Source organism: Homo sapiens, chromosome 16, assembly GCF_000001405.40.
Source record: "Homo sapiens chromosome 16, GRCh38.p14 Primary Assembly".
Classification (NCBI taxonomy): Eukaryota; Metazoa; Chordata; class Mammalia; order Primates; family Hominidae; genus Homo; species Homo sapiens.
This window is the reverse complement of record NC_000016.10, coordinates 71,353,279-71,365,682: the sequence shown is the minus strand read 5'-3', so window position 1 is coordinate 71,365,682 and position 12,404 is coordinate 71,353,279. Positions and strand designations below refer to the sequence as shown.

The window sequence follows — 12,404 nt, the reverse complement described above, 5'->3', positions numbered from 1 at the left end:
GACCAGTAGCATTGGAACTACCTGGGTGCTTGTTAGGAATGCAGAATCCCAGGCCCACCTTGGACCTACTGAATCTTTCTCTGGGGGGTGGTGCCCAACAATCTATGGATCACACTGTCTTGGTGATTCATCAGTGTGCTAAAATCTGAGACGCATTTGCTCAGTGGTTTTCAAATTTTGGTCTAGGCCAGACATATGAGTGTCACTTGGGGGCTTCTTAGAAATGCAAATTCTAAGGACTACAGAATCTGAGTCTCTGGGGATGGGGTGCAGAAGCCTGTGTTCTAAGCAGCCCTTCAGCACACTCAAGATGTTGCGTCCAGTCGCTTCTAGTGCACCAGTCTGTGTAGCACTCGCAGTCCATAGATTAGAGAGGTCAAAGGAGGGAAGGTTCGCACCTTCCTCCTTGAGCTGCACCAGAATTTCCTCGTTAAGGAATTTCCTCGTTAAGCTGCACCAGAAGGCATCCAGGAGGCCAGGCCGCTTGTCGGTCTATCTGGAGTTCAGATTTATCGAAGGCAAACAGTCCTCTAACCTCCATCTGGAGCACCCTCTGGGACAGTCAAATCCTACCCTTTGGGGTAAGAAATTGGCTTCCCCAGGCTCTGCCCCAGTATTAATCCTGCTTTGCTTGGTGCGCACCATTCCCAAAAAGCTTTCCACTTCCCACCTCATCTGTTCTTTACGACCCTGCCAGGTAAGCAGTTATCAACCCCATCTTAGAAAGGAGGAATCGGAGGGGGAAGGAGATTCAGCCACAGCTGACAGAGGTCCTGGCCTCCTTCTATTTGTCCCAGGGACAATGTCTGTCCATATCTGCATTTGTCCTGGCTTCTCTCTCTGACACACACACACACGCTTCTTCCAGTGGCTTCTGGAAAAAAGAATAAGCCCCAGAGTGAAGAGCTACCAGCCACCAGCTGAATGTTTGGGCACTTGAATTTCAATCTATGTTTCTGGGCTGTGCTGCTTTGGACCCGTGGTTCTGGAGCTGGGCTGGGTCCCCTGAACCTGTGGACATCTGGCAGCCTAATGCTGGGCTGAGTCCCAGGCATGAGGGAGGCCAGAAGGATAGGGCAGATTGGGTGAGAGGGGAGATAGTGAAGAGCCAACAAGGACAGAGGGAGGGCTGAAGCCAGAGGCCCCAGATGGGCCGGCTTGGCAAAGGAGGGCCTGGGATGCAATCCGCCGGCAGGCTGGGGCTGGAGAGGCACTGTTCTTGAAGAGCCTCAGGCCTGCTCTATTAATTCTAGCTCCTTTGGTTTTGGAATTGATTTCCCTGAGGGGTCTCCTTAGCCCTGGAAACCTCCCTCAGGGGCTTGGCTGGTAAAGCTGCTGAAGTCTGGAGGGGAATATACAAGCTGAGCAGGGCAGGGACAGCCGGCCTGGCTGTCAATATCAAGGCAATGCAGGGCTGGCATCTTGTTTGTGAAACGGGTCCCTTAGGCGGGCTCCCCCGGGGAGCCCCAGCTCTTCACAGACCAGCTGCTCCCCGCTGCCGGCTGGTGCAATCAGAGTCTGAGAAGCAGAGCCATAGCAGGCAAGAGCCCACCTGGAGGTACCCAGCGTAGAGCTGCTGCACGTGGACACTCCACAACCCAAGGACGCTGTTAGTGAAAAAACTGGGGAGTTGGGGGAGGGAGCAGAGGCAGGGGTGGGGGACATTTTCCAGGGCCTACCCCAGATGGGTCAGGCGGCTGTTCCCTGAGAGCCTCATATCCTGACATCACGCCACGCCCAGCTGAGAGGTATACAGACCCCCAGAGGTTCACTAACAGGGTTCAGAGAAAGCGCTCCTCTGACAACTTTAATCTTGGTTCCCAGTGTCGGACCCTGTTGATTTTAATGGGCCAAGACCCAATCGTTTTGATAAATCCTATGATTACCTTATAGCATTGTAACTGTTGTGTCATTTATATAAACACTTAATATACATCACATATTTTGTGACCCTATTTCAGCATGTGTTTCACTTTGGTATTGCAGGACCTCTCATGCAGCCGCCCAGGGCCAGTTGCCCAGGTTCCCGTTCATCTCTGAGAGGTGCTGCTGTTCTAAATTTCCTCCCCATTCCCTAAACCAGGGACAAACAAATGAGCAGTGACCCGTGCCCTGGAAGAGCCTGCCTGGGCACTGCAGTCTGGCCCTGAGTGGTCCTCAGTGTTGTGTGGGCTTGGAGAAGACTTCTGCCAGGTCACTGGGTTTCAGAGGGCGAGGATGGGAGCCTGCGTAGAGCCATCCTCAGCCCTTTGTGGCCTCTGTTGTTATTTTCAAAATCCTCAGGGTCCACATAGATAAGGAACAGGACTCAGTCCCTGTGAGAGGCTTTGAGCACCCCCTACGTCACCTGGGCCACTTGGAGGTGGACAGAAGCCCAGAAGAGTATAGGCAGATCCCCCCACCTGGAGACATATACATATTTCTTACAAGGGAAGAAAAGGTGTCTATCACATTGTTTTCTTCTTATATCTTTATTTATTTAGTTAGTTATTTTTTTAAAGATAGGGTCTGGCTCTGTTGCCCAGGCTGGAGTGCAGTGGTGCAATCATAGCTCACTGCAGGCTTGGACTACCTGGGCTCAAGCCATCTTCCTGCCTCAGCCTCTCAAGTAGCTGGGACTACAGGCGTGCGCCACCACACCTGCTTAATTTTTAAATTTGTAGTAGGGGGAGGGGGGGTCTCACTGTATTGCCCAAGCTGGTCTCGAACTCCTGGCTTCAAGTGATCTTCCTGCCTTGGCCTCCCAAGGTGCTGGGATTATAGGCCTGAGCCACTGTGCCTGGCCTCCCTTCTTATATCTTTATTGTTTTGCTGACTACACAGGAAATAGATGCTCTTGTAAAATTTTCAAGTGCTATGGAAATTAACTTAGAAAGTAAAAGAAAATCCCCTTTCATTTGGCTCATCCACTCTTCAGAGAGAGCCGCTATTATTCAGTTGTATTTTTCTAAATATCCTGCAACATACATATATCATTCATAATAAAAACGGGCTTATAATAGTGTTCAGCTACAGTTTTAAACAATATCTTAATAATACATCTTGGACATTTTTCCATGTCACTACAAAAGCTTCACTTCGCTCTATCATACTCCATCATAGGGATGACCATATTTATTTTTCTGTCCCCCAGTGAAGCACATTCTCCCCTCCACCCACTGAAATTGTTAGTATTTCCGAAGAACACTGTAATAGACATGTTTGTTCATATAACTTTCTGCGCACATACGAGTATATCTATGTAGGCTAGATTCTTGGAAGGGAGTAGGATGTTCACCTTGGCCCCATGAATGTCTGCTTGCCCCTGGAAGAGAACTCATCTTATCTTTACATTCTTAGTTGCTTTCAAAGGGGTAGCAAAAGCTAAGGCATTTCTCTTTGGAGCCACAACTTTGCTGCTCGCAGATGGTCAGTAAAATAGGAGCCCGGTGGCCTGTCTAATCAGAACCATAAATAAAGGACAGTGTGAACTCTGAACTGGGCATCCCTCAGCCACCTGGATCCTTTAGAGGGGGAAAGGTCCTGATACAGAAGTGTCCAGGAAGCAACAGAGCAATGGGCTCAGATACGTAAGGCCACGTCAGGGCCACTCGGAGCATGGAGGTGATGTTCGGAAGAGCCCTAGACCCCACCAGGGTCACTGGGTGGGCTTGGCTGTCATCTTCCCTACCTCAGCCTTTGAGAGACAACATTGGAACCCTCCCAAACGCATGCTCTTGGCTGACTGCTGAGGCAGAGTTGGTGGAGTGGTATTGCGGACTAGGAGACCAGATTCCTGGTTCCCCCTTCACCTCTTCCTGCTTTGCTGTGTGATCTTGTGAAAAGAATTTTGCCTCTTTGAGTCCTAGTTTCTCACTCTCCAAACATACACTTCTTCCTTTCTCTACCACAAAGCTAATAAGAATTTTGAAAATAATCCAACTCTTTAGGGTGATGGTGGCTTTTTCTGTTTTGGAATGGGCTAAGGGTCCTCCTGCCCCCATCCTCCCTCTCGTTGGGATTCAGCTGCCTCCTAAGGTCTCTTTGTCTTTGTTTACTACCAGCCAGCATCCAGAAGGGGTGGGGAGGTGGCTCCAACTCTCTGGGGGCTGTGGTTAATTGGGCTCCAGCGAGCCCACTCCAGGGACCTGGAGAGCTGCAAGGGAGAGTTCTCTCAGGTGTTTTTAAGATTGTGAGTGGTAGGGGGTACTCTTAGAATTGGGAAGAAACCCCATGTTGAAAACGGAAACCAGAATTGGTAGGAGAGAGGCCTAAACAGGGCTGGGAGTGCCTCAGGCACTGCGGTGTTGGGCTCACCTGGCAGCCTTTGGGTGTTCAGGAGGGGAGGAAGGTCGCCCAAAGCCTAATTCTGGATCCTTTTGTGGAATTCCGATTTGGCTGTATACATATCTTCCTAAGTCACCTCTCTCTCATCTCTGGTATTTTAATCCTCATGGCCCTCCTTCTCTGTCGGGTCCATGGCCTTTCCTTGGGACTTCCCTGAGGCTGTGATGTAGAGATGGCAGTGGAAGTCTGATGGACAAGGAAGAAGGTGCAAGCATCAAGCTCCCCCTTCACCCCGGAGCAGGAGGGAGCCAGAGGCACAATGGCTTTAGGAGGCTTTGAAGATCATGGGTTTGGTGGTAGCTTAACTACACTCTAGCCAAGCCAAGGACCCCATTTTGGGATACACGAAACTGCCCATCAACCCCAAGGGTGGGCTGGGGGCTTTTCTTTGGGGGAATGGGAGGGAGACTTATACCTATCATCATGGAAAAAAACCCTCTTCCAAACCAAGCAGGTGTTCAGGAACCAGAGTGGGAGAATAAACGCTGGCCAGGAACCAGCCCCACCAGTAACTTGCTCCATGACCTCGGAAAAGTCAACCCCTGTGTCTGTTTCCTCATCTGTATAAGGGGAGTCATGGTCTGCCCAGCAGCCTCACACCTTGAGAAGGTGCAATTGTGCTTAAGTACAATGTCTCAGATCAACGTAAGGATCTGCGTGGTTATGGACAGTGCTCTTGCTTGTCCCTCTGAGAATGGGGGAAAGTAGAACTATAGAGTCCTCTGTTTATAGCTGACTCATCTACCAGGAAGCCAGTGGTGTAACCTTGGCTGCTTGGTAACTTTCCTTGAATCATGCAAGTCTGGTGCAGATAAACTGGCAGGAGCCTCCTTAGGGAATGTGCATGTCATCTGGAATACTAAAAGGCTGCACTTCTCTTAGGAGAGCACTTTGTACCAAGGGAATTTTATGGCAGGAGCTGGGGATTGGAAACACAATCCCTCCTTAGCCCCATTTTACAGATTTAACAATCTACCCACTTCCATCAGTAATTCATAGGCAGATCACAGTCCTAACTCAGGTATTCAAATGCCTAGTCCCCTACCCCTCTAGCTTTCTCAGTTGGCTCCAAGGAAACAAAATTTCACCCATTAGCATCCCCAGACATTAACCCCTGCCTCCCCATAGCACTCTGGGCAGAGGATCTCTGCCCAGCCACCTCCACACCCTGCCAAGGCGAGGAAGGGAGGAGGGAAGAATGGAGTGAGGCACACCTGATGCCCCTCTGTTTTCCATCCCCCTTGCTCTCAGACCCCAGGATAAACTCCCTGTCATCCCACACAGATCTGGGACAGGGGCCTGAATGACAGGTGTCAGAGCCCACAAGGCTGAGCCTGGCCCCCTGGGGGGCTGTGCAGTGCAGTGGTTAAGAACTTGTCTTCTGGAGACAGCATCTGTCTTAGCCTTTCCCGTTGGCCTCCCTTTGGGGTCAGCCCCTCCAGGAGCCATTAGCTACCCGAGGGGAGGGTAGCTACAGACACCACAAAATGTCTGAGATGCCAGGATATTTTGGATGCTCATCTTAGCCAGGTCTGTGCGTAGAGAGGGAAATCAGATCACTTATTTTTTCGGAGTAACAGAAACAGAGTCTCTAGTGATATCAAAAGCCTCTAAAGGAGGACCACCCTTTATGCCTGAGTCAGACCACCACAGACACTTGGAATCCCAGTGCTGGGGGCTACCTCCAAAGGTCATTTGGTCTGGCCCTTGCTTTTTGGGTGAGTCAGTGTCAAGACCACACAGAGCAGAGGGTTAGTCACTGAGGCACTTAGGGTGGTGCCTCCCCCTACCCAGAGATGAAGTCACCAAGAGTACCCAGGATTATCACTATGAGGGAACAGGTCTGGGACTGGCACCCCAACGCTGCCCGCCACCACACCCACTGCTGCTGTATTGGGAAACCTACATGCCCACGGCGGCTGGAAAATGGACAAAGGAAGCAGGGGGGTGTTCAGGGCCCCCAATGCCATTTTCCACTCCTGCTCCCAGCCAATCAAGCTGGGGAGGCCACGTTTCCCTTCAGGATCCCCTAATTTATCCCAGCCTCCAGCAGGGTAAGGGGGCTAACCTAGCATTCAACAAAAGGGGAAGAGGAGGAAAGAAATGAGTGGTCTTCTGAGACCTGTGGCTGGAGCAGCTGAAGGCAGGGGAGGTGGGGGAGATGGCAGGGGGAACCTGGAGGCCTTCCCAGCCCAGGCCACCTCTCTGAGAAAGCTCCCACTTGCTCAGAATAAAGGTGCAAATGCGGGTGGGCTCTGGGTCATCTATGTTAGGGAAGAAAGTTACTGACAGTTGTGCCCAGAGCAGCCGGATGTCTCCCAAACCCGGGACCACTACCCCAGCAGGCTCTGCGACCAGACCACCTCCTGAGGGCAAACGTACACCTGCCCGCATTCAGCGCCGCCCCCTGCCCCCTTCACCGCAGGTCCCCTGGGTGCCAATGGGCACAGAAGTTGGGAGCTTTACTGACCGTCTGCGTCAAAGTGCTTCCATATTTCCAGGAACTGGGACGCCGTCAGCTCGGCCAGGTGCAGGTAAGGGGGCTGCTGCTGCGGGCCAGCCATGGCGAGCCGCTCGGAGACCTCAGCCTGCACCGCTCCCGCTCCGCGCCGGCTGGGCTCTGGCACTCGCGCTGGGGTTGTGCGCCACGCTGCCCTTATATACGCTCTGGAGCCTGCGCCTGCGCCCGGCCGCCAGAAGGGGGCGCGCGCGCTCAGGGAATCCGACCGGGGCGCGGCGCGGCGGGGGCGGCGGCGCGAGAGGCTCGGCCCGGACTCCTAGAGGGCCCTTACCTCTGCGCTGAGACCCCTCGGCGCGGGGCCAGGGACACCCGGAGGATTTTCGGTGAAAATGAGGGAGAGGCTGCCCTTGCCTTCCCTCCCGACCGTCTTGAGTACATCCACCACTTATTATTGCTGGCAGTAGCAATAATAATAACAGCAGTAACAACACTAATAGTAATACTAACACAAACTTGACAAATATTTAGCACTCGGGCTTCGGAGTTCACTAGGTCTCTGTCGTGCCTCCTCTCTTCTGATCCTTCCACAGCAGGAAGAGCTGGGACCACTTTTCTGATGAGGTACTTGTGACTTCAGATGATTAAGTGACTGGCCCAGCAAATTAGTGGCAGGGCTACAATTTGAACTCAGCACTCTTTCCACGCCGCACGTGGCTCCTTCATGGGGCTCAGTCTTGCAGAGCAGCCAAGAGTTCTCAAGGCTTTAGTGGGGAGCAGCTGGAATCAGCAGTGCCCCGGGAGGATTCCGATGGAAGTGGTGTGGGGTGGGGGTGGGGGGCTTCCACTGTCTGTTTGGGTCTTCGTATATCCGTCCCCTCGGAGCCTCCCTCCACCCCTGGTACCTGCCTCACGCTGGCCATGCTCTGGGGGGCTTTTAGACATTTGGCCAGGGGGTGGCAGAACTAGATCAACCCGTACCAGGTCTTAACCACGCCCACCTAGGGACATCGTGGGAATGTGCCTGCTCCAGTGGACAGAGAACAACGTCCAACTCTGTCTTGGGGATGTTCTGAGCTGGTCTCAGAGAAAATAGACGCAGCTACTGAGCGCACATCCTGAGGGCAGCAGACAGGACTCCCCAGCAGGGAGCTGGGCCCTCTCCCCATTCTCTCCTGCGGTCTGAGCCCTTAGGGGTCTGTCCTGGCCTTGTGGTGTGGTAAGGTAAGACACATTACCCACAGAGTGACAGCATCATCCCTCCTTTCTCCCCTCTCCTGCTACGGAGTGACTGAGACATGAATTGGCGATCTTTAACATGTGCTAATGAGTGTTAGCTGAACCACCTTCCAAGAGGAGAGTGAAAGGCAAGGAGGTAAGTGAGAATGAAAAGGAGGTCGCTGGGGGAGAGGGGAACCCAGGAGGAGACAGAGAGAGGGTTGTCCCTTGGAGAGAGGGCCAAGCCCAGAGCGAGTCTCAAAGGGGCAATAGAGAATGCAGGTTCCAAAACCACTTGTTCTTTGCCTAGGGTGAATGTGTTTAGAGTTACTTGCAGGAACAGACTGGGGGGAGAAGTCATCAAAAGCTAGCTTTAGAGGTACCCATCCACCTTGCTGAGAGATTCACCAAAGTCCCTAGGGAGGCAGGATGACTCAGTGGTTAAGAGTAGGCACTCAAGAATCAGGCTGCTTGGGTGTGAATCCCAGAATAAGCTGTGTGACCTTGAGCAAATTATATAACCTGTCTCTGCCTCAGTTTTTCTCTTCTGCAAAATGGGCATGTGGGCATACGCCTTTTAGAATTGTTGGCTGGGTGCCGTGGCTCATGCCTGTAATCCTAGCACTTTGGGAGGCCGAGGTGGGCAGATCACGAGGTTAAGAGATTGAGATCATCCTGGCCAACATGGTGAAACCCAGTCTCTACTAAAAAAAAAAAAAAAAAAAAAAAAAAAAAAATTAGCCAGGCGTGGCGGTGCATGCTTGTAATCCCAGCTACTTGGGAGGCTGAGGCAGGAGAATCGCTTGAACCCGGGAGGCGGAAAGGTTGCAGTGAGCCAAGATCGCACCACTGCACCCCAGCCTGGGCGACAGAGCGAGACTCTGTCTCTAATAATAGTAATAATAATAATAATATAATTGTTCTGAGGATTAAATGAGTTAGGGCTCCTGCCGCCCTTCATGGAGCCAGTGATCAGTGGTTGGCTTGGCAAGAAATTTCTCAGTCAGCATCACCTCCCCTGGGGTAGCTAATGAATGGATCCTGGAGGGGCTGACCCCAACGGGAGGCCAACGGGAAAGGCTAAGACAGATACTGTCTCCAGAACACAAGTTCTTAACCACTGCGCTGCACAGCCCCCCACGGGGCCAGGCTCAGCCCTGTGGGCTCTGACACCTGTCATTCAGGCCCCTGTCCCAAATCTGTGTTGGGTGAGAGAGCTCATCCCTGCTTCTCCAAGAAGCAAAGCCAGTGTCTCCATGCTACTTTGGTTTTCCTGGTGAGGAGTAAAGAGTGAAGCTCCTACTTCCTGCTTTCCAGAGCTGTTGAGATCAGGGGGACATGGTTCTGGGTATGACAGTAGGGTGGCCACAGTGACCTTTAAACTGTCTACTGGGACAGTCTTGCCTCGTTCATTTCAGATGCACAGTTGGTCTGTTTCTGGGAGGCCCATTCCTGGAGGACTGAGGAGCCCAAGCTGGTGCGTTTGTGGTTTATCTCCAAGTTGAGTCCTGCAGAAACAGCCACATTGAGCAGTTACAAGTTCCTGCCCTGGAGTCAGATAGATATGGGCTCAAAACCCTCTTGCTGGTTGTGAGGCCTTGGGCAAAGCTATTTAACCTCTTTGAACCTTTCTAAAAATCAAGGTAATTAGTTTCACAAAGTCAGTGGAAGCACCAAAAAGAATGTAATCAAGGGGTTAGCTAGCAAGAACCCCAGCAGCCGTAAGTGCTTAATTAATAGGCAGGTATTCTTACCAATGCAAGGATGTGAGGAGGGATTTTTCTTGTTGTTCTGAAATAGTGGCAGTTAGGCCACATCTGGAATCACAGCAATCAGATGCCTCGTGTCTTCCTGGCTTGCTCAGCCTGCCCGCCACCACCCACCAAGGCCAGGGATTATCAGGGGAGATGTCTGGGTGCGGGAGAGAGGAGCATTGGCCTTCTGGGAGTGCAGCATTTGTGGCTGTCCTGAAGTCAAGTTTTGTTGGAGGAACCCCCAGAAATCCCCTTCAGGTTGTGGGGGATTTCAGCAGCAAGGAGGAACTGGAGATGTCACCTGGCTCCAGAGTGGGCTGGGGTGAGCAGTGTTCTGGAGTTTGGGCCACATATGGAGTTGGGACTGGCGCTTGCTTCTGACTCAGAGCTGTCTGATGGCCTATGAAAGCAGCTTAGACTGCCCTGTCCTGCGTCTAGAAGGAAGATGGGAGCCACCATGGTTCTCGGCAGCCCTTGGGGGTTGCTATGGCTCCTGGGAAAGGTGCATATAGTTTAAAGAGGGGGCCGAAGCCAGATACCTGCTGGTGTTTATGATATCCTCGGTGTTGAGGAAGCTAGAGCGGAGCTGAAGACCGCTCCAAAAAACCTTCACTCCACTATGCACAGGCCCTCAAATTCCTCAGAGATCAGCAGCGGGAGCCAAAGCCTGGGATGCTCTTACAACCTGCAAGCGACCAGAGAGGTAGGAAGACCTCCCGCCCCTCATCTCTCCTTGCAGCTCCCTCTGCCCTACCAGGAGGGGATGTCTTAGAGCCAGCCATCCCTTCTCTCCAGGCTCAGCTCCAGACCCAAGCTCCTTGTCCAGTTTGCAATGGGAAAGGAGAAGAGCTTTGCATTGGAGAAGAGACTGGAGTCTTAGCTGGACTGGTCCAAGTTTCAATAACCAAATGTGTGAGGAGAAACATGGACTCAGATAAGAAATCATTCAGAGATAGGAAAGAGAGGTTCGATGAGCGTATTTTAAAGCAGTGACGGTAAAGACGGAACATTTATGAGCACATTTCCGTGAATTAAGGCTCTTGTAAGTAATTTCAGATGTCTGGGGTTCTGCTTCCCTTCCAGGACTTCCCCTCGAGTTTTATTACAATAATGATAATGATGATGATGACGACAATGATGGCGATAACCGTGAGGATACCTTTAAATGCCTTTACAGAGGGTTTTGATGTGTCTTGCTTTGTTTGGTCCTCACAACTCCCCTATCAGGTGTGCAATGCAAGAATTTGACCCATTCCAAAGATAGGGAAATCAAGGCTCAGAGAGATTAACACCCAACCAAGACCTGGGAGGGGTGGGGTACCAAGAACACTTTGTCCCCTCCAGTTTCCATGGTATATGGAGTCTTTGTGGACCAGGTGCCAAGCTCCTGGGCACTATGTATAAAGTTCTTCCCGGACCCTGGCCACTGGAGCCACAGGGCCCCTCCCAGCGTTAAGGAGTAATGCCAAGCCCACTGTTTACCCACCAGTTCTCTGATGGCTGGTTCCTCCCTCCACCAGAAGGGCAAACTGGGGACCACCTTCACTTTCGCATCCCCAGCCCACCAGCTCATTTGAGTGCTGTGATCTGACACCAAGGATTGGCAGGGAGACTTGCCCAACTGTCCCTCTGCCCCAGGACCCTAGAATCACTCCCTCAAGAAGGGAGGGAGGCTTGGTGACTGAAGTGGTGAGATGTCAGAGGACAGATGACAAACAACTTTCCAGCCAGGATCCACTGGGCTTCGGTAATTGGCTGAGCTCCTTAGAGCACCTGGTGTTATTTTGGAGCACTTCAAAGGAAAAAATACGAAGCCTGACCTGGTACCTCCCTATGCCTAGAAGTGTTTCTTCCAGATATTGCTTCTTTGGTTTTTATAATGGTCAGGCCTGGCTACCGGAGTGCTGGAGAGCTGGCCTTGCTTCCCAGAAAGGAGGATGAAAGGGATGCAGGAGCCCAGCAGTTTCCATGGAAACGGACTGAGGTGGTGGAGAAAATAGAGAAACCAGAGGAACCCAGAGGTGGAAGCAGGACTTGTGAATAACCCGGTCTGAAACTTGAGATCTATGGACAGCTCCCTCTGTGCAAAGGATTTGGGTCACCAGGATAGCAACAGGAGGTGAAATAGCAGTAGCTGGGGGCTGTTGGGTGATCCTCCCTCCGCAAGCAGGGACACAGGGGCTGAGGGCTCAGGCTCCAGAATTCCACAGGCCCCTTTCAGCTCCTGGATCTGCTTTTTATCGGCAGTTCTACTATGTGTTGGCTTTGTAATCCTGGGTAAGGTGTCTACGCTCTCTGAGCTTGTATTTCCTCATTGGTAAAATGGGGATAATCCTAGTAACTGCCTCACAGGCTTTGTGAGCATTAAGAGAGGTAATGCATGTTAAGGGTGATGCAAGGCCTGGAACAAAATAAGCATTCAAATGTTATTACAGGGGAGAAAACCGAAGGCAAGTGATGGTGAGTTTAATCCAAATGAGTGCAACCCATCTCCACCCTGGCCAAAGCAACTGGTTCAGGGATAGGCAATGAGACATCATATCCCAGAATGCAAAGGAGCTACTGGGACCTCCTGTCTATTTGCAGACAGTCTGGTGTGAAGCTGTGAGGTCTGGAATCACTGCAGCTATCTTGACACCATGAGTGCA

The 12,404-nt window shown here is 51.8% G+C and overlaps 1 protein-coding gene across 3 annotated transcripts in view, besides 3 other annotated features; it reads right to left on the bottom strand.

Annotated features, from left to right (window-relative positions):
* Window positions 1–6,960, bottom strand: part of CALB2 (calbindin 2) — a 31,711-nt gene extending 24,751 nt beyond the window's left edge. For all 3 annotated transcript variants that reach the window (NR_027910.3, NM_001740.5, NM_007088.4), the window contains exon 1: window positions 6,797–6,960. Coding sequence is in view for 2 of the 3 variants with exons in the window: in NM_001740.5 (NP_001731.2) it covers window positions 6,797–6,890 (94 nt within the window). In the remaining variant the exon portion in view is untranslated. The remainder of the gene's footprint in view (window positions 1–6,796) is intronic.
* Window positions 4,943–5,237: an enhancer, noted in NCBI's record as "tiled region #14967; HepG2 Activating non-DNase unmatched - State 20:ReprD, and K562 Activating DNase unmatched - State 8:EnhW". NCBI's record gives its function as "activates a minimal TATA promoter and a strong SV40 promoter by Sharpr-MPRA in HepG2 and K562 cells {active_cell/tissue: HepG2 | K562}" and the evidence as "EXISTENCE:reporter gene assay evidence [ECO:0000049][PMID:27701403]".
* Window positions 6,264–7,229: an enhancer, noted in NCBI's record as "H3K4me1 hESC enhancer chr16:71392357-71393322 (GRCh37/hg19 assembly coordinates)". NCBI's record gives its function as "activates a minimal SCP1, AML or CMV promoter by ChIP-STARR-seq in naive H9 embryonic stem cells {active_cell/tissue: H9 hESC(naive)}" and the evidence as "EXISTENCE:reporter gene assay evidence [ECO:0000049][PMID:30033119]".
* Window positions 6,932–7,161: a silencer, noted in NCBI's record as "silent region_7677". NCBI's record gives its function as "represses an Ori minimal core promoter by ATAC-STARR-seq in GM12878 lymphoblastoid cells {active_cell/tissue: GM12878}" and the evidence as "EXISTENCE:reporter gene assay evidence [ECO:0000049][PMID:35858748]".